Source organism: Homo sapiens, chromosome 16, assembly GCF_000001405.40.
Source record: "Homo sapiens chromosome 16, GRCh38.p14 Primary Assembly".
Lineage (NCBI taxonomy): Eukaryota > Metazoa > Chordata > Mammalia > Primates > Hominidae > Homo > Homo sapiens.
The window spans coordinates 12,189,095-12,213,545 of NC_000016.10; the positions used below are offsets into that span (position 1 = coordinate 12,189,095).

The 24,451-nt window shown below is 45.9% G+C and overlaps 1 protein-coding gene across 21 annotated transcripts in view; it reads left to right on the forward strand.

The window, feature by feature from the left end:
• The window catches only part of SNX29 (sorting nexin 29), a 597,554-nt gene that overhangs the window by 212,361 nt on the left and 360,742 nt on the right, over positions 1-24,451 (forward strand). For 19 of the 21 annotated variants that reach the window (XR_001752024.3, NM_032167.5, XM_017023874.2 and 16 more), the window contains one exon: positions 10,507-10,589. The exons of the other annotated variants lie outside the window; for them this stretch is intronic. Coding sequence is in view for 18 of the 19 variants with exons in the window: in NM_032167.5 (NP_115543.3) it covers positions 10,507-10,589 (83 nt within the window). In the remaining variant the exon portion in view is untranslated. The remainder of the gene's footprint in view (positions 1-10,506; positions 10,590-24,451) is intronic. 21 annotated transcript variants of the gene reach the window in all.

A 24,451-nucleotide genomic window follows, 5' to 3' on the forward strand; every position in this document is an offset into this window, starting at 1 on the left:
GAGGGCCTGGGAATCTGCTTTTTACTTTTTAATTTTTCACCCCTGAGTCTGTTAATGTGTTTCCTACAAGCAAAACATTCTCCTTTGTAATAACAATATAACAATCAGAATTAGAAAATTAACATTGACACATTTCTGCTGTCTAATCTTCACATTATGCTCAACTTTAACCAGTAGTCCCAGCAATGTCTTTTCTTGCAAAATGGTTGAGTCCGGAATGACACATGGCATGTGATTTTCATGTCTGTTCGGGCTAGAACAGTTGTCTCTTTTCTTGACTTTCATGACCTTGACGTTTTTGAAGATGATAGGCCAGTTTATTGTGCAGAATGTCCGTGCCTTTGGTTTGCTTGATGTTTCCTTTTGATTAGATTCGGTTTATGCATCTTCGTAGGAATGTTGCAGAGGCGATGCATCTTTTTAGTGCATCCTGGCAGGTGGTGCATGGCTTCAATTTGTTCCATTCCTGATGTTAACTTTGATCCTCTGATTAAAATGATGTCTGTTATGCTCCTTCACTGTGGAGTTTCCCCTTTACAATTAATACATATTTTGTAGGGAGGTTTTTGAGCTCGAAATACCCTATTATGCATTAAATTTTCCATTAATTAATTTTGGATTGTTCAGTTTCTATTTTATTCAGCTTATAATGCATTACTATCACTGTTTTGATGCCCGGATCGTCTCAGAGCGTCCGAGCATCAAAACAGTGATAATAATGGATTATAAGCTGAATCCGTCCCATCCATCCCATTTATCAGTGGGAACTTTTATGAGCTGGCTTCTGTGTCCTTTTAAAGTGGGCCTGTAAGTTCACATTGATGTCTTTAATCCCAGTCCAACATCACCATTGACTTCTCACTTTCTTGACGTATTTGTTATTCTCTTCTCCAATAACAAGATACCTGGCTCCAGTTATCAGTAATATATTCAGTTATTGATCCATCCCCTTGTAAGTTAACTAATCTCTGATAGCTTTGGGCTGAATTGCTTGGGAATAGAAAGTCAGGGTTATGGGGAGATTTGCTTTCTGGAGAAGCTCCTCTGCTCTCTTCATTATAGAGATCCTCCATCCTCTGACCACATCTGGAAGGACCCTGGCCTAGTGCTGGAGGGTAGAGGCTTTGGAGTTGCCCTGATGTCAGTTCCACTTCCACTCCTGATTGACCTTGGCCGGTCACTGACCACACCGAGACTCCATTTCCTTATGGATGAGGGCAATATTTCATGGTACAGAGAAAAATAAGACATGGCCACTGTCTTCAAGGATCTCATACTCTAGATAGGGGAAGATGAGCACAGGCCAGGGGTATTAAAGTATGAGACTTGTTAAGAGAGAAGCTTGTCTAGAATACGCTGGGGGCAGAGGAGGGAGCTGTCACAAGCCCCATGTGGTGGAGGCAGGGTTGGCAGGAAGGACTTCAGAGAGAAGAGGGCCTTTGAGGAGACACTTGCAAAATGTGTAGCTGTTCACCAGGGGCCTGGGGCAGATGGGAGAGTTGCAGACAGAGAATCAGATCAACCTTAGCAAAGACACATGGGGCAGAAAGAGCTTGGCTGGTATGGGCAACAGGGAAGAGCTGTGATTGGCCAAATCCCAGAGTGGAGGTCTGAGGCTGTATTAGGTGGATGTCTCAGCTGCTCTGGGAGCCCTGACAGCTGCAAGAGGAGGGGAGGGGGTCGGGTCTAGCTTAGAGAGCATGGTGTATTGGGTAGCGGGGCAGCAGCCTGGGTAGAACCCGGGAGGAGCCTTTCCAAGATGACGCTGGGGGAAAGTGCTCTGGAAGGTATCTTTTGCTTTCCCTCTTGCCCTGATGACCTCAGTGCCAGAGGCGCTGGCTGGCTGGGTTTATTCCTTCAGACCTCTTAGGATTGATTGTTTCACAAAGATGGTGTAGAGCAGCGGTCCCCAACTTTTTTGGCACCAGGGACTGGTTGCGTGGAAGACAATTTTTCCATGGGGATGGGTTGGTGGAATGGTTTTGGGATAAAACCGTTCCATCTCAGATCCTCAGACATTAGATTTTTATAGGGAGTGTGCAACCTAGATCTTGCATGCCCAGTTCACAATAGGGTTCGTGCTCCTATGAGAATCTAAGGCTGCTGCTGATCTGACAGGAGAGAGAGTTCAGGTGGTAATGCTTGCTCACCGCTCACTCACCGCTCCATCACCTCCTGCTGTGCGGCTTGGTTCCTGACAGCCACGGTGATGGATGACCCCTGGTGTAGAGGACTGGTCCAGTTTTCACTCTGGAGTTGCACTGTCTGCTTGTGAGTCCCAGCTCTGCCACTTGTCAGCTTGTCACTTGCCAGGAACATGACTTACCTCCTCTGTAGGTATCTCAGCCTGCAGCCGTCTAAAAAGCTTTGCTTACACCTTTCCCCTTCTCTCCTCCCCCACTCAGTGCTGGACAGGTGGTAGCTACTAGCATCATTGTCATGGTGACAATTACTCGAGGGTGTGAGGGCAAAAGTGTTCTGTAAAGGGCAGTGTAAGAATGCATGTTGGGCTCAGTGCAGCAACAGGCTAAAGGAGTTCTGATGCCTTAGAAAAGGTGGCGGGGTTGGAGTTAGGGTCAGAAGAGACTTAACAGGAATATGTACAGTTAGGGAAAAATGGTTTTTCAACATTGGTTGTTTTATTTTGCAGTGAACTTGACCTTTGAAGATTTAGGATGTGGCTGCAAACACCACAAAGCCAGGCGATTTATGCCTCCCTTCTTGCCTTTTATTGGTGCCTATTCTGGGGGAGTCCTCATGGTCTTGGATAGCCTTGCCACTGGGCCACCTTCTTCTTGTAGTTGGGTGTGGTTATGGTTGATGCCTACTCAGTACCTGCTGGACGGTAGGCATGAGGTCCCCTCGAGCTGTGCTTTTTTACATCTAGGGAAAGTATAATTCCCATAGGTGTATCTTAGTGTGGTGTTTTGATGCCTGAGAATTACCAAATGTACTTACCAGGTTCGTTAGTTTTGTTGTGAGTAATTTTCCTTTGAGTAGTGCTGTCTGGGGTTGCTGGTTGTTTACTCTGACATTGGGGCAGGCCTAATTGCTTTGACTTACAAACATTAATTATTGCAGTCGTTGGAAGCTGTTTGAGAGGTACTTGCCACCTACTCAATGATTTGCTTTCGTTCCCATGCTTTTAAAGAAATCTGCAGGGTAGCCAGCAGGCTTGTTTGGGGCTGGGAGTGGGAAGGAGTTGGCAAGGCTTTCTAGAATTGGACAGGCGAATATTTGAATACTTGTCTCCATGTGCACGGCTACCTCTTCGGTCCTCTCAGTTCTGGCCACCATCGTTTCTTGCCTGGATGACCGTAATGGCCTCCTATCTTCCGGCTTCTTCTGTTTCCACCCCTCATTCCATTTGCTTTTTCCACATAGCAAGTCTGCATTCCCTTGCTTGACACCTTTTTAATTTATTTTTTTGTTTGTGAATTGCAGTCTCACTCTGTTGCCCAGGCTGGAGTGCAATGGTGCGATCACAGCTCACTGCAGCCTGCAACTCCTGTGCTCAAGTGATCCTCCTGCCTCAGCCTCTGGAGAAGCTGGGACTACAGGCACATGTCACCGTGTCCAGCTAATTTTTAAATTAATTTTATTTCATTTATTTATTTATTTATTTATTGAGACAAGGTCTCACTTTCACCCAGGCTGGAGTTCAATGGCACGATCTCGGCTCACTGCAACCTCTGCCTCCCGGGTTCAAGCAGTTTTCCTGCCTCAGCTCCCAAGTAGCTGGGATTACAGGTGCCTGCTACCATGCCCAGATAATTTTTGTATATTTAGTAGAGGCAGGGTTTCACCATGTTGGCCAGGCTGGTCTTGAACTCCTGACCTCAGGTGATCCACCTGCCTCGGCCTCCCAAAGTGCTGGGATTACAGGCGTAAGCCACTGTGCTCAGTCTAAAAAATTTTTTTGTAGAGATGTGATCTTGCTGTATTGCCCAGGCTAGTCTCAAACTTCTAGGCTCAGGTGATCCTCCTGCCTCAGCCTTCCTAAGTGCTGCAATTACAGGAATGTGCCACTGCGCCCAAAACATTTATCATAATGTTTTTGGAGTTTCATCCAAGTTGTTGCATGTATCAATAGTGCATTCCTTTTTATTGATGAGTAAGCATTCCATTACTTACATTCCACTACAGGAGTTTGTAATTCCATTACAAGAGTTTGATACCAGCCTGACCAACATGGCAAAACCCCGTCCCTACTGAAAATAAAACAATTAGCCGGGCCTAGTGGTGGGTGCCGGTAATCCCAGCTACTTGGGATCTGAGGCAGGAGAATCACTTGAAGCCAGGAGGTGAAGGTTGTAGTGAGCCGAGATCGCACCACTGCACTCCAGCCTGGGCAACAAGAGTGAAACTCCATCTTCAAAAAAAAAAAAGAAAAAGTCTTTCACATAGCAAATCCAGTTAAACTCTTTTTTCTACTCTGGACGATGCTTTTAGTATTATATCTAAGAAATCTTCTTTGTCTAACTCAGGTTAGGTATGATTTTCTCCAACATTTTCTTCTAAACCTTTTATAGTTTTAAATTACATTTGTTTGTGGTCCAGTTTTACTTAATATTTGTATAAGGTGTGAGTATTGGTTGAAGTTTATTTTTTTTGCATATGAATGTCTTGTTGTTCCAAAATCATGTGTGGAAAAGATTGTCCTTTCTCCAGAAGCGCCTTCCTACCTTCGTCACATTGCTTGATTGTGTGTATGGGTTTATTCCCTGATTCTTTGGTCTGTCTTGTTGGTGTGTGTCTGTCATTTTGCCCATATGACATTGGCTTGAGGGCTGTAGCTTTACAGGAAGTTCTAAAATTGGGCAATGTGAGTCTTCCTGCTTTGTGCTGCTTTTTCAAAAATGATTTTGGCTATTTTAGTTTCTTTGTCTTTCCATATGAATGTTACAATCTGCTAGTCTATATCTATAAGAAATCCTGCTGGGATTTTGATTGGGCTTTCATTAAATTTATAGATCAATTTTGGGGAAATTGACATCTTAATTCTTTTGAGTCTTCTAAGCCATGAACCTGGTATCTCCAGGTAGTTAGCTCTTCTTTGATTTCTTTTGTTAGTATTTTGTAGTTTTCAGCATGCAGATCCTGGACACATTTTGTTAGATTTATATGAATGTATTTCATCTTTTGGAGCTGTTATAAATGATTCTTTTTAAAAGTAATTTGCCTTCTCATTGTTCATTGTTAGTGTATAGAAATACAGTTGATGTTTACATTTGACCCTGTGTTCTGTGACCTTGAAAAACTCGGTTATTCTGTGACCATTTTTGTCAGTTCTTGGGATTTCCTTTGTAGATGGTCATGTCTCTTGTGAAGAGGGAAAGTTTTAGTCCTTCCTTCCTAACCTGTATGTTTTTTTGGGTGGGGAGGGCCTTATTTCACCAGCTAGAATCTACTGTGCTGAACAGGAGTGGTGAGGGAAGAATTGCTTGACTCATTTTCAGTCTTTGGAGGAAAATATTCAGCCTTTAATCATTATGTGTGATGTTACTATAGGATTTGGGGGTGGGTAGTTTTTTTTTTTTTTTTTTTTAAGAAGGAATCGCAGACTCTGTCACCTAGGCTGGAGTGCAGTGGTGTGATCTTGGCTCAGTGCAACCTCCGCCTCCCAGGTTCAAGCAATTCTTGTGTCTCAGCCTCCCGACCAGCTGGGATTACAGGCATGCACCACCAGGCCCAGCTCATTTTTGTATTTTTAGTAGAGATGGGGTTTCACCATGTTGGCCAAGCTGGTCTCGAACTCCCGACCTCAGATGATCCACTCACCTCGGTCTCCCAAAGTGCTGGGATTACAGGCATGAGCCACTGCATCTGGCCTGGGGGTATTTCTAACCTCTTCATACATTTTAAAAAGTGCTCTAGTAAAGTGCATTGTTGAAAAATTAAAGAAAAATTTCCAATTAATTTTATCATATAGAAATGAGCACTGTTAACGTTGTGGTCTATACATTTCCAGTGCAAATATATCCATGTAAATAGATATAAGGGGTTAGAGTAAATACACTCTGTACTCTGCTGCATTCAGTTAATGGTATATCAGTGTGAGTATATATGTGTGTGTGTGTATATACGTAATATTCATCCCTGGGGATAAACATACATATTTATCATAGCTTTGACAGTCCTATAGCGTCCTATTATAGGAGGATGCACCATAACTTTCCACCCACTCTTACATTATCAGACAATTAATTTGCAGCCAGCTTCTTTCTTTTATATTCAAAGCATCCTCATGCATATGGTTTTGAGACTTCTCTTTCTTTTCTAAATACAGTTTCTTAGAAGTAGACTTGCTGGGTCAGAAGGTTACAGTTCTTGAAGCTGTTGATTCATATTTCCTAAAGCTCACCTGTCACCAACTGCTTACATTTATGAGATGCCTAAGGGGGTTGGCAGCAGAAGCTTGAGCTCCATAACTCGAGGAAAGTTCCTTAGCCTCTCTTAGCAAAGCTGGCTGGTCAGGAGGATCCTGTTCACATCTGTGCAGGAGTCTTAACCGCCCAAGAGATTCTGCAGACCTGTGCTCGTTTTCTCACGCAATTTTTCAAGGCCTTACGTTTTCAATGTTGCCCTGTTCACTTAATTCGCTAAACGTGTATAATGTAATAGGAGACTTTGAAGTTAAAGGATATGGGTTTAAATCCCAAGTTGGAGTGTGTGTTAGACTCTCTGGGCCTCAAATTTCTCATCTGTAAAATGGGCACAGTAAAACCAACCTCGTGATGTGTTGCTGGTGGTCTAATGAGACACCAAGTGTGTGGCAGAGAGGAGAGGGACATAGGCATGGAGAGGCTGAAGTGAACTGTGGCTCTGCCTTTGCTGGTTGTGAGTTTTTGGATAGTTCAATTAGCCTCATTGAGCCTCAGTTTCTTTTCCTTTTTTTTTTTTTTTTTTTTTTGAGACAAGGTCTTACTCTGTCACCCAGGCTGGATCTTTGTTCACTGCAACCTCCACCTCCCCGGCTCAAACGATCCTCCCACCTCAGCCTCCCAAGTAGATGGGACAACAGGTGCATGCCACCACACCCAGCTAATCTTTGCATTTTTTGTAGAGATGGGGTTTCACCATGTTGCCCAGGCTGTTGTCCTGGGCTCAAGTAATTGGCCTGTCTCAGCCTCCCCAGGTGGGTAGCATGAGCCACCACGCCTGGTCTTCAGTTTTTTCATGTGTAAAATGAAGGCAGTAAGAAAAATGGCAGCAATAATAACCTGTTTTGTAGGGTTACTGTGTAGATAAAATGTGAGCATGTCTGCCACACCTCGAATATTAAGTGCCCTACTCAGAGGCAGGTGTTCATGTGTTGCAGATTGAAAAGCATATTTCCCACTACATACGTATGGATCTCTGGGAATGAGGCACAGCTTTTACCTGTAAGGGGGTCTTGCTACTGTGCTGCTTCCCACTTCATAGCTAGCAAGGAGGGATTTCAAGGAAGGTGCAAACATCTCAAATGTCCAACTCTGCCACAGTCCACATTGGCAACACTTTTTTTACTTTTCTTTTTTCTTTTTTCTTTTTTTTTTTTTTTTGGAGACGGAGTCTCACTCTGTTGCGAGGCTGGAGTGCAGTGGCATGATCTTGGCTCACTGCAAGCTCCGCCTCCCAGGTTCAAGCAATTCTTCTGCCTCAGCCTCTTTAGTAGCTGGGATTACAGGCACATGCCACCATGCCCAGCTAATTTTTGTATTTTCAGTAGAGACAGGGTTTCACCATGTTGGCCAGGCTGATCTCAAACTCTTGGCCTCACGTGATCCACCCACCTCAGCCTCCCAGCGTGCTGGGATTCCAGGTGTGAGCCACTGCACCCAGCCAGGTGTGATTTTTAGGTGGAATCTTAACACAGTATTGAAAGATTTCTTCAAACTAGAAGAAAAGCAGGTATCTGAAACATTTTAGTGCTGGCCACAGAGTTGGAGATGAACAGGGAAGCTGAGGATCGGCCCGACGGCTGGCAGCAAATGAGAGGAGACCTGACCGCCAAACACTGACATGACTTCTGTTGGTCATGCGGCCTCTTGGAAAATGTTTTTCCATGAACTGTTGTTTAGAAATGTCTATAACTGCCTTTCTTTCCCTGATTTTAAGATATGTGACTTGAATTCACATGTGAAGATTGGGAGTAGGCTGGGCTGGGCAATGAGGCTCTGGCTAAAGGAATCCTAGAAAACATGCTCTACAGGCTGGGCGTGGTGGCTCACACCTGTAATCCCAGCACTTGGGGAGGCTGAGGTGGGCGGATCACTTAAGGTCAGGAGTTCAAGACCAGCCTGGCCAACATGGTGAAACCCCCATCTCTACTAAAAATAAAAAAATTAGCCGGTCATGGTGGTGGGCGCCTATAATCCCAGATACTTGGGAGGCTGAGGCAGGAGAATTGCTTGAACCCAGGAGGCAGAGGTTGCAGTGAGCCGAGATCATGCTACTGCACTCCAGCCTGGGCGACAGAGTGAGACTGCATCTCAAAAACAAAAGAAACAAAAAAACACATGCTGTACAATCCCCATCAGGGAAGATTTTGTCTCCCACAAACATTTTAAGGACTTGTTATTTTGTGTCAAACATTTGTGATTCATGTCACAGATGGAGAAAGTGCAGACACCTGTGGAGGCATCCATGACAGGCTTTGTCTAGGACGAGGGGATAACTAAGGGACTCCCTTGTGGTTTACTTTCTCCAGAGCTTTGGAGATGAACGTCGAGTTCTCAGGTGATGCCTGAGTCTATGGTAGTGTCTGAGTTTGATCCTTTTTTTTTTTTTCTGCCACAATACAGCACAGAGAAGCAAAATACAAAGAAAGTGCTGTTGCCGTGGGCTGAGAAGTAGTCAGCTGCATTGAAAACAGACGCTCGGCACCAGGGATGAGCAGTCTCAAGTTTTTCAACTAAGTCAGTGTTTGGCGTATCTATAGTAGTGGGTGGTATTTCCATCCGTAAATAGACTGAGTGAGAGGCTTACTGTGGTGCATTATTAAGTGAGACGACCAGTCTCAGAAACATTTATACTATCCTGTCATAGAGACTCTGAGTGTTTTGGGTTGGTAGTGATTGTCAAAGCATGGAGGAAGGCCTGAAAGGTATATACTAGGTTTTTGCCATTGGTTACCATGGGAAAGTGTTGAGTGGAACAGTAAACAAGGGAAAAAAGCCTTCAGACATTCACACAAAAATTAAAGCATTGTGAAGGGTGTATCATCCCCCTAAAATTATTAGGATGTGTGTGTGCACCTAGAGAAATAATAGGATGGATATAAAAATGTTAATAGGGTTTATTTCAAGGTATTGGGGTCTTACCATGTTTTTTGCATTTCTTCTTAAATGTGTTCTGATGGAGTATTTTGCAATGAGCATTTTTTATTTTTATAATCACAGAAAAAACCCAGTCTTCAGCTCTTCTCGTTGCAAGGAAAGAAAAAATATTCTAGCACATTTAAAGGCACTTAGACTCAAGACCTGAGGTGTAGGGGGTGGGGCAGAAATAGAAAACGTGTAAGAGGCACCTCCCTCTGGTAGAGCTGGTCAGAAACCAAGTCTGAATCTCAAAGCAGATGGCGAAGAGTCCTTGTGGGCCTTGGGGGCAGGGAAACCTGGGTTCAGATCTTACCAGTGAGTTTTACTGGCGACCTTGGTCAAACACCGTATTTGTCCAACTCTTCTCCTGTAAAATGTGGAGAATACTGCAGGCTATTGTGCATTTTTCTACTGAATGAAGCATCTTTCCGCTGAATGACGGATGGATGAATGAATGAGTGGATGCATGCTTGGTTCAAAGAGACATATGTAAAGTCTAAATACTCAACAAATGGCAGTTTTTCCCCCTTTGTCCTCATGTTCTGTTGTCACCCAGTGTACCTGGGGAGTGAGTTCAGCAGGTGGGGTCCTGTCATACCCTGGGTTCTGTGTTCCTTAGTGTAATCTTACATGGGGGTGGATGTGGAGTTGGTCCAACTGCTTGTCTTTATGCCACAATCTCCTTATCTGTAAAATGAGGGTTGTGTTAGTGCTTTGGAAGGATTCAAGGAGATTCTATACAGACACTTGACATGATGCCTGGCAAATAATAAATGTTTAGTACAAGTCACAGTTGATAAAAGTATTAAGAGCATTCCCCAGGGTGAATGCACAGTAGTCAGTACATGCTTCTGCAAATGGAGAGAAGACTAGAGTTCCTGACACTGAATAGGCACCTGATAGGTGGGTAGCTCCAAACAGCCTAAGCACAGCCTGTGTCTGTGTTCTGAATTTGTGGACACTGGAACCGATTGGTGCTTATCTGTCTCATGAAAGAATAGTTCTTAAAGGCACTCTGCAGACATGCCCAAGGTAACACAACCATCTCCCGTGATGATATCTAAACCATGAGAATATATTAACATTTATAAGATGCAAATTGTGCTTTTCTTTACACAAATTCACCACCCACCCCTGCCCCCTCCTGTGGGTCCACATTGTCACTTTTTAAATATATATTTTTTTAACATTCTTGTACCTGCAGAGAGAACGAGGTGCTCAAAGTCCAACTGAAGAAATATGTAGGAGCTGTCCAGATGCTGAAAAGAGAAGGTCAAACAGCTGAAGGTGAGGGGGAGCCTGAGCCCGGGTTGGGAGGGGCCGGGCTTTTCCATTAACACCTGTACGTGGCACGCAATAGACACTCAATGTGTGACGAGTGCATATGTGGATGGATTAGAATAATGGTGCTGCTCAGCGTTCCAGAAAATTAATCAGGTGGAAAACCTGATGCGTATCCCTGCAACATGCATAACTAGTATTGTAAGACTCACTTGCTAGACTATTAGCAACAGTCTTATTGGTTTGTGTACTTAGAGAATTTTATGTCCAGAGTCTTGAGACAGTTGCATGGCAGTGAACCTTGTGGTATGATGAAGTCACAGCAGGCCACGGGTGCAAGCAACAGAAAGGCAAGATGGCAGAGAATCAGAGCGCTGGACTTAGGCTGATCAGGTTCCAATTCCAGCTCTGGTTAAGTTTTCTAATCTCTTTGCACCTCAGTTTTTTCATCTGTACAATGAGGTTGGTTGACAGCACCTACCTCATGAGGCAATCCATGTAGACGTCTTAGCATAATGCCTACCATAGAATAAATGCTGAATAAATTTTAGCTATTATTATTATTATTAATCAGAAATTCCAGCAGATAGAAGAACAGTCATGAAGATCTTGCCAAATGAGGTGGGGCCATCTGCTGCTTCTAAAATCTCCTAAAATATTTCTCAGGGCAGCCTGAAGAAAGGATATTTAACTCTGGCTGATGTGTCTTGCAGCCCTCAGCCAAAAGACCGTAACAAAATTTCCTTAAAGACAAGCTCATAGAGTGTGGACATTTTAACAAACAGTGGGTGTTCCCCACATTCACGTGTCTTTTTTTTTTTTTGAGACAGAGCCTCACTCTACCGCCCAGGATGGAGTGCAGTGGCACAATCTTGGCTCACTGCAACTTCCGCTTCCTGGGTTCAAGCGATTCTCCTGCCTCAGCCTCCCAAATAGCTGGGATTACAGGTATCTGCCACCATGCCCAGCTAATTTTTGTATTTTTAGTAGAGATGGGGGATTTCACCATGTTGGCCAGTCTTGTCTTGAACTCCTGACTCCAGGTGATCCGTCCGCCTCGGCCTCCCAAAGAGCTGGGATTACAGGCATGAGCCACCGCTCCCAGCCCACATGTCTTCAGAGTCAACCAAACCTGCACTGAATTCATGCTCACCCACGACCACCTGACCCCTTTGAATTATTTTACTATACGTACCAGGACATCACACCAGTGTCATGAGAGCATTGTGAGGATTTTCCAAAACAATGAATTCAGAGTTTCTAGTATGGTACCTGGCATATAATAAATGGTGGTGGTTTTTTTGTGTGATGGAGACAGGATTAGAATCTGGCTATGGCTTATTTAGTAATAGTATAAAGATGTGAATGTTTTTGAAGCTTGTATATTTCTTTTGGTTACTGTTTGATCAGGATCAGCTTATTGGTGATGCTATTTGATAACATGCCTTGCTTTATTCATATTTGGGTCAGTAACTGTGGTCATTCTGGAGTTATCAGTGCAGAATTAATCATCTTTCTCTGTGGCCTCATGCCCTTTTCATACAGATATTGCTATTATGGCCCTGAATTCATCTCATTATACAGAATTATTTATATGTTGGTCTCCCAAGTTTTTACATCTCATCTCTGTTTCTCCAGCAACTGGCTTTTTAGTCATTCACTACATTCATTACATACTTGGAATGAATAGTATTTGTCTAGCCCTTTACAGCCTTTCCAAGCAAGCTCAAATGTACTCTGATTTGACTCAGTAACCTTGTGATGAGTAGGTATTTTTCTGTTATTTTAAAGTTTGTTATTAGAGGCTTAGGAGAGCTTAAGGGGCTGGTATATGTGTCTGTGGTGGAAATGAACTCACGCATTTTTCTCCAAACCTCTGGTTCTTTGCATTATAAAATGCTTTTAACTTTACTGTGCAGAGGAATTGCCTGGGGAGCCCATTAAATATACCTCTTTCCAGGACACTGCCGCTGGGAGTTACTCCAGTGGACTTAGGATGAGGCTGTAGATTTGCACGTCTAGATAATGTGACTCTAATGCAGGTGACCTGTGGACAGCACCACCACCTTTTGTGAAATCTACAAGTTACTTACACAGAACTTGGATTCAGTACAAAAAGACCATTAAAGTCGGGTTAAAAAGAAGCACCACTGGGCTTGCTTTTGATTTGAAAACCTCAGCGCTACACAATGCATTTCTAAGTAGGAAAATTTTGAACCTAATTTGCAGGTTCCATATGCCCATTCTCCCCAAATGGGCCTATGGAACCTACAGTGTACAGAATGGTTTTTCATAGCAGCTGAAGGTCCATTTCCCCAGACCGATCCTGAGTGCCCTGAGCCACAGCTGGATATGAGCCATTTCAGGATGTAGTTGCGGCAGCTCTTACATGAATTAGAGCGGTTACGTACGTACGGCGACTCCACCTAGCAGCAGTCTCTTACTTCTGCATTATTACATTCTTGTGTAAAAAGCCTCCAGGATTTAAACAAAACAACTTAAAATGAACTTTTAGAATAAACATTGGCAACCTTTAATTTTACAGGTATCAAATTTCAGATTCCCACCCTTTTTTTTCTCTCTCCAAGAGAATCATTATTTAAGCACCAAAATAAGGACTGGAATTTGGGTGGCTTCATTATCTAATGGAAAGTTTTTTTTGTTTTATTTTTCTTCCCCGAATGTGGTCCAGAAGTGAGGTTGGGTTATTTGCCTCTCAAGTGCTGTTTTTCCTTGGTGATGTCAGATTTGCCGGAAGTTTACACTTTTATTTGCGCTTTTGAATCTCTCACCTCAGGGCAAATTCTTCATGCTCTTCCTCCAGCATTAGAACCTTGGTGCAAGGGCTGCCATATCTACCAGGAACTTGCCTGGCAATTCCACTTCGTTGTAACTCTTACTGGTCATTTGATTAATTCTGTTGTTAATGGCGTTGGACACCCTTTCTCCTCGCCACGGAGCCAGTGTAGGGAAGTTTCACTTATGAAAGTAGGAAATCACTTAAAAGAGGAGGCGATCCTCCTCCTCTCCTTTCACTTACGAGAGCAGGAGATCCCTCTGAAAACTCATGCTTTCATTTTGGGCTTATTGCTGAAATGTGAAACAAGATGTTTGCAAGTTGGCTTCCTGCCTGCAGAGAGGCCCCTTGGCAGCTCACTGAGGGGTCTGGGGAGAGCAGGTGCATCACTTCAACCTTAGGGTTGTGTGGACAAGACTGGCTCATTAGGAGTGGGCTCACATTAGCCACTGTCAGGTGGACTGGTGGCGTGGGAGGTGACATTTCTGAAGTTGTGTAGCATGGCCCCGCTGTCAGGTGGACTGGTGGCATTGGAGGTGACAGCTCTGAAGTTGCGTAGCATGGCCCTGCTGTGAGGTGGACTGGTGGCATTGGAGGTGACAGCTCTCAAGTTGTGTAGTGTGGCCCCATTCTCAGGTGGACTGGTGGCATTGGAGGTGACAGCTCTGAAGTTGTATATCGTGGCCCCACTCTCAGGTGGACTGGTGGCGTTGGAGGTGACAGCTCTGAAGTTGTATAGCGTGGCCCCACTCTCGGGTGGACTGGTGGTATTGGAGGTGACATTTCTGAAGTTGCGTAGTGTGGCCCCACTCTCAGGTGGACTGGTGGTATTGGAGGTGACAGCTCTGAAGTTGCGTAGTGTGGCCCTGCTGTCAGGTGGACTGGTGGCATTGGAGGTGACAACTCTGAAGTTGTATAGTGTGGCCCTGATGTCAGATGGACTGGTGGCATTGGAGGTGACGTCTCTGAAGTTGTGTAGTGTGGCCTTGCTGTCAGGTGGACTGGTGGCATTGGAGGTGACGTCTCTGAAGTTGTGTAGTGTGGCCTCGCTGTCAGTTGGACTGGTGGCATTGGAGGTGACGTCTCTGAAGTTGTGTAGTGTGGCCTTGCTGTCAGGTGGACTGGTGGTATCATTCTTTGGGTGTGGTCAGTGGCTGCATGTTCAGCTGGGAGGCTGGCCACTCTGATGTTTCCACAACAGGGTTGTTCTTGTGGAGGTCTTTGCTGTAAGACAACCATCCTAGGCAGTGGGCTTCTCTTGGACTCTTCCCAGGAGCATTTGCCTGACGTGAGAGCTTGCTCTGTGTACTGAAGAAGAGATTCCCCTGCTAGGATTGGCCACACGTGACTCCAGAGAGACATGGGTCTGTCCGTGTCACATGGCTTGAGTGACTTCCCCATCCACATGTGGGTAGTGAACATCTGTGTCCTCTGTACTTGCTCCAGTTTTCACTTGACCAGCGTCCTCCCTCACTGTCAGTCCTGTGATGTCGGTGGCTTCATCCTTGGCCTGGCACCTTACCTGGATGGCTCTGGCTAGATCTCAGGGCGTTAGTACACAATCAACAAGAATTCTTGCTTTCCTGTTAGGCTGGGAGACTGGGGCCGCTGTAGTCAGCTTGTTTCCACATAGAGATTGGGAATGAGGCCATCGCACAGAAAGAGCAGCTGAGCTGAAAGGCAGAGAGAAAGCGAACTCTGATCCTGTCTTTAGAGCCCCTGAATCCAGCTGTGCCTGGCGTGACAGTCCTACCCTGGACTTTTTGGTAATAGGGGCAGTCATTCCGCCAGCCTCCCCTGCTCCTGTTATCAAGCTTGATTAGTTTTCTATAGCTCATGTGTTCTATGGCAAATTATTATGTCTTTCCTGGATACAGGCCTGTTCGTCCTTGTAAAGGGCGATTATTTCTGTGGAATTGTCTTTCCAAGTACAGTGTCTGCTCCTGTGCTGTAAAGCTTTTCCTCCTACCTCCCCTCTTACTGGATGCTCCACTGTCATAACTGTTCATGGCCACCATAGCGTAGTCCTGTTCAATAGCAATGGATTTTAAAGCCACGAGCTCTCCTCGGCATCCCCATTTAATTAATCTGCAGTCAGCCCAGGGAGAGAGGGAAAAGGAATAGACCATTGCTGGTGGCCATCAAAATAATCAGCAGCAAGGGCAGGAGACTGAGTGGGAGGAACTTGACAGATGAGGGAGGCTTGGGAGCAATTTAAAAAGTTTGTTCTCAGAAACAAGCAAAAAATTGGGAAGTCATCAGCCTGTCTGGTGTGTCGTGTCTTTGCTGCTGTGTGATGTGCTCAGGGATTCCTGGCTCCACACCCACATGTGCTTCGTGCTCTCACTGGGGTGTCAGTTTCCCTGGGGTGAGTGCAGCGATTCCCGATTCCACTCCTGCGTGTGCTTTGTGCTCTGGGGTGTTAGTTGCCCTGGGGTGAGCCCAGTGATTCCCAGCTCCACACCCATGTGCGCTTTGTGCTCTCACTGGGGTGTCAGTTTCCCTGGGATGAGTCCAGCAATCCCCGATTCCACACCTGCGTGTGTTTTGTGCTCTGGCTGGGATGTCAGTTTCCCCGGCCTTCCAAAGAATGGGGCAGGGCATTTTCGAAGGCTGATTCAGTGAAGATGGAGAGTCGTGGGCTAAATGATTCCTAGAGCCCACAGTGTTTCAGGGGAGCTTGCAGGGTAACTTTTTATTCTTTTTTTCTGAACCATTGCAGGCTTCTGAACCATTGCAGGCATCCCTATGTGCACGGCCTGCTGTTTCCACTCCCACTGTGCACAGAGGCAAAGATGTCTCGTTTGAGGCAGTCTTCGGTTGCAAGGAATAACAATCCACCAAAGCTGGCTCTGTGTGTGTATGTGTCCCAAGTGGAATAAACATGGAACCTCATAAATCCCGTCACTCTGCTGTTTACCGTTCATGGTTTTCCAGTCCTGACTTTTTGATGATGGCCTTCAGTGCTTGTGATCTGGCTCTTCCCTAAGTTCCAACCTCATCTCCCACCACCCTCCCTCTTGCTGTCTCCACCCCACCCACGCTGGCCTTTAGGCTGATCCTCAAACATGCCAGGCTGGCTCCTGCCTCAGGCTCTTTGCACGTGCTGCCCCTATGCAGGGACGCTCTTCCCTGGTCTCTGTGTGGCTGGTTCCACCTTGCCATGCCTGTCTCCATTCAGATACCACCTCCTCTTGACTGCCCTGTCTTACCTTGTGCTGCCTCCCTCATTCTATCTCCGACTTTTCATCACAGCACTTATCAGGCCCTCAAGGTATCTTGGTCATTGATTTTCTTGCTTGTTTCTTCCCGGTGTTCCACCTTGCACTGTACAGCCCACAAGAGCAGGGATGTTGGCATGTCTTTTCCCCTGCTGTGTTGAAAGTGCCTGCACAGTGCTTGATCCATGACACGTGCTCTATAAATGTTTATAACATAAATGAATATAAATAAAATAGGAGCTGTTGGATCTCATGGCCTTGAGTTGATTCCAGATCTGTTGCAGCTGTGGAGAGCCTAGTAGTGGACAAATTCATAGACCTTTCTTCTAGTGCCACCCAAATAATGTGCATCACCCCCATGTAACTGCATCTTTCAGTTGTGCCTCCAGCTGGATTCTCCTGATCGTGTGTGGTTTTTGCTTTTAGTGACCACGATTATCATGTGACCTTGACCCTGCCCTGGTTGTGTCATTCAGAGCTCTTGTGATGACAGGAGTCATACAATCTGATTTAATCTGTCTTAAGCCAAATACAAGAGAAGTCCAGGAGTATCTGCCTTCAGGGATGGTTTGATCCAGGGGCTGCAACAATATCATGGGAAGTTTTTTCTTTCTTTCTTCAGTTTCTCAACTCCAATTTTTTTCATTGCTGGGAGTGATGTGCTGGTAAATGTCTAACAAATAGCTTTCAAAAAAAAAAAAAAAAAAAGCCCTGATTTAGAATGTTTGCAGATTTCCGTGGTGTTGTAAATCCTCCTTCTATGTCTGATTTCAGACTCTGCCAACACGATGTCACTGTTTGCAGAGTTGGAAAGAGATGCACGCAGTTAGCTCCCATGAGTCAGTACACGGGCGCTCCCATCCCTCACTGTGTGCTGGCCGCCTTCTCAGCCAGGTGTTCTCCTTGGGCTGGCAAGAGGTTGCCAGCAGCTGTAGCTTTAGTCTTTCTAGCAGGCCCAGCAGGAGAGGAGCTTCTCTCACTGTCCCGTCTTTCCATCTCTTCACCCCACAGAGCAATGGTTCCTAGTATTGGCTTTTAATGGAGTCACCTGGGAAATTTTTAAAAATCCCAATGCTTGGCCCCACCCAGACCCAAAAATCAGTAGTGGGAATGAGGTGGTTTTTTTTTTTTTTTTTTTTAAAGCTTCCCAAATGATTCCAGTGTGCAGGTTGGAGTACAGCGTTTGGAACCACTGCCTTGGAGGATATCACTTTCCAATTAATGAAGTTCAGGGTCAGCAAATATGCTACAAATGTGCTGACACTCTCTGATTCTTGGCCAGTAGCTGACACTGTAAATTAATCAAGGTGCACTTTTCTTCTTGAATCCAGATTTAGCCTCAGAATTTGTCGCTTCATGTAGGTACCATTGAGTTAAGACCTGGGAGGCTAGGCCAAGCGCGGTTGCTCACGCCTGTAATCCCAGCATTTCGGGAGGCCAAGACGGGTGGATCACCAGAGGTCAGGAGTTCAAAACCAGCCAGACCAACATGGTGAAACCCCATCTCTACTAAAAATACAAAAATTAGCTAGGTGTGGTGGCAGGCGCCTGTAATCCTAGTTACTTGGGAGGCTGAGGCAGGAGAATTGCTTGAACCTGGGAGGCAGAGGCTGCAGTGAGCCAAGATCGCACCACTTCACTCCGGCCTAGGTGAAAGAGTGAAACTTTGTCAAAAAATAAAATAAAATAAAAAACAAAAACCAGGGAGGCTCAATGGGAGCTGTTCACCACCACTGTGTGAGTTAACCCAGTGCCTTTACTGTGCCCCAATCCCTGCTCCCGCAAGAATCCGCTGTGGGTGTTAATTGTATTTCATCTCCGTTCCCGACCCTTCCTGTTCCACCGCAGTGTCTCGCTCTCACTGCTCATCACAGAGCTGCTTTGCTGTTACGTTTGTCTCATGTGCCCCCATCACAAACACTTTACGACCCCACTCTTGGCTCATCCAGTCTCCTTTCCTAGAAACTCCGCTTCCCTTATGCTTGCTCAGGCCAGATGTTGCATTTGTGGTACGATCCAGCTCTTCTCCTGTCACCTGAAAGAAATCTAATTACTTGGATCTTTCAGTTTCCTAAACCCCTGTGGTGCTTGCTACGAGCAGTAAGCAGAGTCTGGCATTTGCTTTTTGCTATTATGGGTTATTCTGTGGTCACGTCTTGTGTGTGTGCTCTGTCTACTCTGCTAGACCTTGTGACCACATAAGGGGTAGGGTCTGGGACTTAGAAACATGCAGGTTTTTTCTTCTTTTATTAATCAAGTACACAACAGGTGCTTAATAAAAATTTGTTACTGGGGTCCATCCAAGTGACTTTCAGGAATGATTTCAGAGTCACAGAGATGTTGATGTAGATGGAAAGAGCATTCCCTGAGAAGGGAAACAAGTTTGGGGAAGCAACATTCCATACCACTTAAGAGCGGGGAGATGATTATCATTCTCCTTTCTGCCCGAAGTGACCACACCACTCTGCTCACATTCCATGGGTGAGGGCTAGTCATACAGGCCCACCTGGGTGCGGAGGGTCTCGGAAGTGTTCTCTCTGGCCGGGCAGCTGCTTTGCACAAGAACTCTACCCACTGCAAGTGGGGAGCATTGAGTTTTGGTGGCTGGTCGGCCAGCTCTGCTGTCCCTGCTGGGGCACTCAGAGGTGTGTGGTCTCCATCTTCTCACTCATTTGTGTGGCTCTTCAGAAACAGCTTACTTTGGGGTTTGTAAGCTCTCAGAAGGAATGCCTGATAGGTTGTGAGGATCTATGGTAGGAAGGGTGTCCAAGAATGTGCTAGCAACATGTCTCTCAGATATACTGAGTCACTTGGCTGGGTGTGGTGGCTCACGCCTATAACCCCAGCACTTTGGGAGGCTGAGTCAGGATGATTGCTTGAGCCCAGGAGTTCAAGATCAGCCTGGGCAAGAGCCTTCAGGGAGCCATGACTGTGCCACTGCACTGTAGTCTGGATGACGGAGCAAGAGGTCGTCTCTGCAAACAGTTAAAAAAAAATTGGCCAGGTGTGCTGGTGCGTGCCTGTAGTCCCAGCTCTTTGGGAGGCTGAGGTGGGAGGATCACTTGAGCCCAGAAGGTTGAGACTGCACTGAGCCATGATCATGCTACTGCACTCTAGCTTGGGCGGTAGAGTGAGACCATGTCTCTTTAAAAAAAAAAAAAAAAGACTGAGTCACTTGTTACTCGTTTATTTCTCCATTTATGGAGATCCTTGCACTACTAGGTTGCACCTTGGAAATGTACTTAGCTTTGTTAGGGGCTGGTAGAAGGTCTGTTCTGCACGGGTACATTGTGGTGTCATTTACATTGGAGGCACCAGTTGCGATAGAGGGACCATGTTGTAGCTGCCTCTTTCTGTAAGGTGCTTTTGGCTTCTCCTGAAAATCTCGGTTTACTAATGGGAAAAAGAGGGCTTTAGATAAATTTAGTTGTTTACTGACAAATGGGGCAAGCAGGTATTCCCTGTGAAACTCACGGGTTGCAGGGGGGTAAAGTATAATGTCCTAACTCTGTGACGGTTTGGAGCCTGGAGAGATGATGGGCAGATTGTGGTAGGATGATCTCAGCTCATTGTAACCTCTGCCTCCTGAGTTCAAGCGATTCTCTTACCTTAGCCTCCCAGATAGCTGGGATTACAGGCGTGTGCCACCATGCCTGGCTCATTTTTGTATTTTTAGTAGAGACGGGGTTTTGCCATGTTGGCCAGACTGGTTTCAAACTCCTGGCCTCAAGTAATCTGCCCACCTTGGCCTCCCAAAGTGCTGGGATTACAGGCATGAGCCACTGTGCCTGGCTTTGAATGTTCAAGAGTTTGAGTGACCACCTGCTGTCCTCTCACTCTCCAGCTCGAGACCCCTCATTTCTGTTTGGACCAGATCCTGGTGGGGCTCAACGGCTCCATGGCTGGGACCTGTAGGTGGCTGAAGGGATGCTCCTGGGCCACCAGCTGCGTGTTTGACTGCTCTATAGTCTCATCAGGACCACTTAGGAGACGTGAGACCAGCAGTGGCCCCAACTGTCTGCTGCTCAGCCCTCCTCGGTCAATAGCAGGAGTTAGACCTTGCCTACCTGCTGCTCTGCACTTAAGTCAGGCATTGCTTATTTGTGTGTTGTCCTTAACAAGGTGGCATGACTTTAGGACACTGGCCCTCTGTTGTTGTCGAGCCTGAAGACTCGCTTCATAAGAGCCTGCCCATCTGACTCTGCGTGGGGCTGAGAAGGGTAGCAGGTGCTGGCGGAAAGAGTGTGGGCTCTGGAGACGAATTCGTTTGGGTTGAAGTCCTGGTTCAGTTTCTGTCTGTGTGCACGTGGAACCTTCAACATCGGGTACCTATTGTCTAATCAGTATCCATTCCCCCTTTCCTGGTAATCTGTTTTTTCTTTGGGGAACCCTCTGTCCAGCCCTCAATCCATGTGGTTTATGTGGGCCTGTCATCCCACTACGTCGGCTACTTTCCAGGCACACTGGTTCAGGGTGTGTGTGTGTCTTGGTCAGGGCCAGCCACTGCTGTCACAGTGCTGCTGGGGTCTCAGAGCAGGAGGCACATGCCTTTACTTGCTGGATTTGGACTGGAGAGGCTGGGGCTGGGGCTCCTCGTTTTGCACTCAAGGGACTCAGACGTTCCCTCCACTTTTTTTTTTTTTTTTTAAAGACACAGGGTCTTGCTGTGTTGCCCAGGCTGGAGCGCAGCTGGACGATCATAGTTCACTGCAGCCTCAACCTTCTGGGCTCAAGCAATCCCTCCTGCCTCGGCCTCCTGAGGAGCTGGGAGCACTGGTGTCCACCATCACTCTCGGTGGGACTGAGAAGTCTTGCCTGAGAATGGAGTCGATGCAGAGGAAGGTAGAGCCAAGAGACAGAGAAAGTGAATCCAGCCAGGCCTGAAGCTCCCTCTCCCTCTGGACTCCTCCACTGCCGAGCTTCCACCACCTTTCTGGTCCCCCTGGGCTTGTCTTCTTTTTTCCAGCTGCATCCTTGCTTCAGGTTGTAGCCAAGGTGTCCTCACCTGCTGGCCATTTTCTCTCACATGTTCCCTCCCTCCCTCATTCCCTCCCTACCTCCTCTTTTCCCCTATCTCCTCCCCTCCTCTCTCCCTTCTCTCTTGTTTCACTCTGCTCCGGTCTATTTTGTATTTGTTTGATGGGCTGAATCTCAAGTGGCCTTTACCTTTTCAGATACTAAGTTTGTAAACAGGAGACCTCATCGTTGCTCTCCCCACTGCTTGAAATAACTGCCTTCTGGGCACTGTTTTCACCTGCAACCCTGTTTTGAGGAGTAATTGAGAGAATTAGATGTAAAGTTCCCAGCACAGCCTTTAGTGCAGAGTGAGGCTTCATAAGCTGTTTTTCCCACCACCTCCCTCACTTTTTACACAGACTCCAAAACCCCTGGGTGGTTTGGGAAGTTAGGTTATTTGATTTGTGCAGAGTACAAGGTCAGGGCACCGTTTCATTCATTCAGCCAACATTGATTGAATACTCCTTGAGTACCAGGCACAGTTCTGGGTATACTTCAGGCCCAAGGAGACTCCTCAGGTTTAGTGGGAGAGATGGACACTAAACATATAAGCAAGCAGGTAATTTCGAATACATATTCTGATACAGCCCAACCTTTTCCCACAAGGCCTTGTAACCATCTAGAGAAATCCCTGGCTGACAGATAACAGAAGCTCTGTTCATTGGGTACCTGTAACGTGCTGGGCCCCGGGGTAGCTTTCCCTGCAGCTTTTTTCCTTCTAACAGCTCTGTGAGGATGGGACTGTTGCCTCCATTTTACAGATGTGAGAAACCAAGGCTCTGAGAGGTGGATGTGCTGAAGCTCACTGTATTAGTCAGGGTTCTCCACAAAAGTGGACCAATAGGGGTGTGTGTGTGTGTGTCTGTGTGTGTAGACAGATTGAGATTGATCGATATTTTAAGGAATTGACCCATGTTATGGTGGCATCTGTCAACTCCAGAATCTGCAGGGTGGGCCTCTAGGCTGGAGTCCAGAGAGAAACTGATGTTGCAACTCAAGTCCAAAGGCCGTCTGGGGGCAGAATTCGTACTTCCTTATGAAACCTCCGTTTTTTGTTTGTTTGTTTGTTTTTTCTTCTTAAAGCCTTCAGCTGATTGGATGAGGCCCACTCTCATTATGGAAGATAATGTGCTTTACTGATTAAACTGTTAATCTCATTTAAAAAATACCTTTACAATGACATTTAGACTGGTGTTGGGTGAAATATCTGGGTACTGTGACCTAGCCACATTGACACATGAAGTTAATCATTACAGTCATCCACCTAGAAAGTAGTAGAGCCGAGATTCCTACCCAGATCTGTCTGTTAAACCCATGCTTTCCCCAGTGCTTCTGAAGTTTATTCTCTCAGACGTGTTCTAGGGATAGTGTATGTTGCCTCTCCTGGGCCTCGGTGGTGGTGTGTGACGAGCTAGCCCAGAGACGCCTGCCTATGTGGGGCAGCCTCTGTGTGACTGGCTAGCATTTACCATGTACTTTGTCCTGAGAAAAAATGCGCCATGTTCGCCTTTCCCCCCGGAGACTGAAAACTGATTGTGTGCCATGAGTCACATGGGGAGCCAGGTTAGAGTGGGAGGGACTCGGAAGTGGACATCAGGGTTGGCGGAAAGCAGAACCATTGACTTTCCGCTTCTCAGGAGCAGGGCTGTGTGTAGACTGGACCTGCTCTTTGTCCTTGAAGGCTACTTCGTCCATGGTAGACAGAAGCCATTGCCTGGAAGAGGAGCCTGGGGAAGTGTTAATAGAACTGGAGCGGGAAAGGCAGGCACAGAGCTTCTGGTTGGAGGAACCTGTCCAATCCCAGCCCTGTCATTTACTAGCTCTGAGCTCACGGAATAAGTTGCCATCTCTGAGCTTCAGTATTTCCATTTGAGGAGTAAAGATAATATATATTTTATATATGTTTGTAGGCCGTTTGTATATCTTCTTTTGAAAAATGTCTGTTCTTGTTTGCTTACTTTTTAATGAGATTATTCATTTTTTTCATGACTGATGTGTTTGAGTTCCTTGTAGATTCTGGGTATTAACCCCTTATCGGATGTGTACTTTGCAAATACTTTCTTGAGTGGAGAAAGAAAACGTGGTATGTATACATCATACAATACTACTCAGTCATAAAGGGCTGGGCGCTGTGGCTCATGCCGGTAATCCCAGCACTTTGGGAGGCCGAGGTGGTTGAATCACCTGCGGTCAGGAATTTGAGACGAGCCTGGCCAATATAGTGAAACCCCATCTCTACTAAAAATACAAAAATTAGCTGGGCATGGTGGCATGCACCTGTAATCCCAGCTACTCGGGAGGCTGAGGCAGGAGAATAGCTTGAATCCAGGAGGTGGAGGTTGCAGTGAGCCGAGATCGTGCCACTGCACTCCAGCCTGGGTGACAGAGTGAGACTCTGTCTCAAAAAAAGAAAAACACAAACAAACAAAAAAAACTACTCGGACATAAAGAATGGAATACTGTCTTTTGCAGCCACTTGGATGGAACTAGAGGCCATCATCCTAAGTGAAGTAACTCAGGAACAGAAAAATAGCACATCCTCTAACTTAGAAGTGGGAGCCAAGCTGTGGGCACACAGGGGCATATAGAGAAACATAAGGGACATTAGAAACTCTGAGCAGGAGGGGAGGCGAGGGATGAAAAACTACCTATTGGGTCTAGAGTACATGTTGTTTGAGTGACAGGTACACTGAAAGCCCAGACTTTGCCGCTACACAGTTCATTCAAGTCACCAAAAGCCATTTATACCCTTAAAACTGTTGAAATAAAGGAAAAAAATAAAATTAAAAACAACATTGACTTTATAGAATTGTTTGCAGTTTAAAAGTGATGAC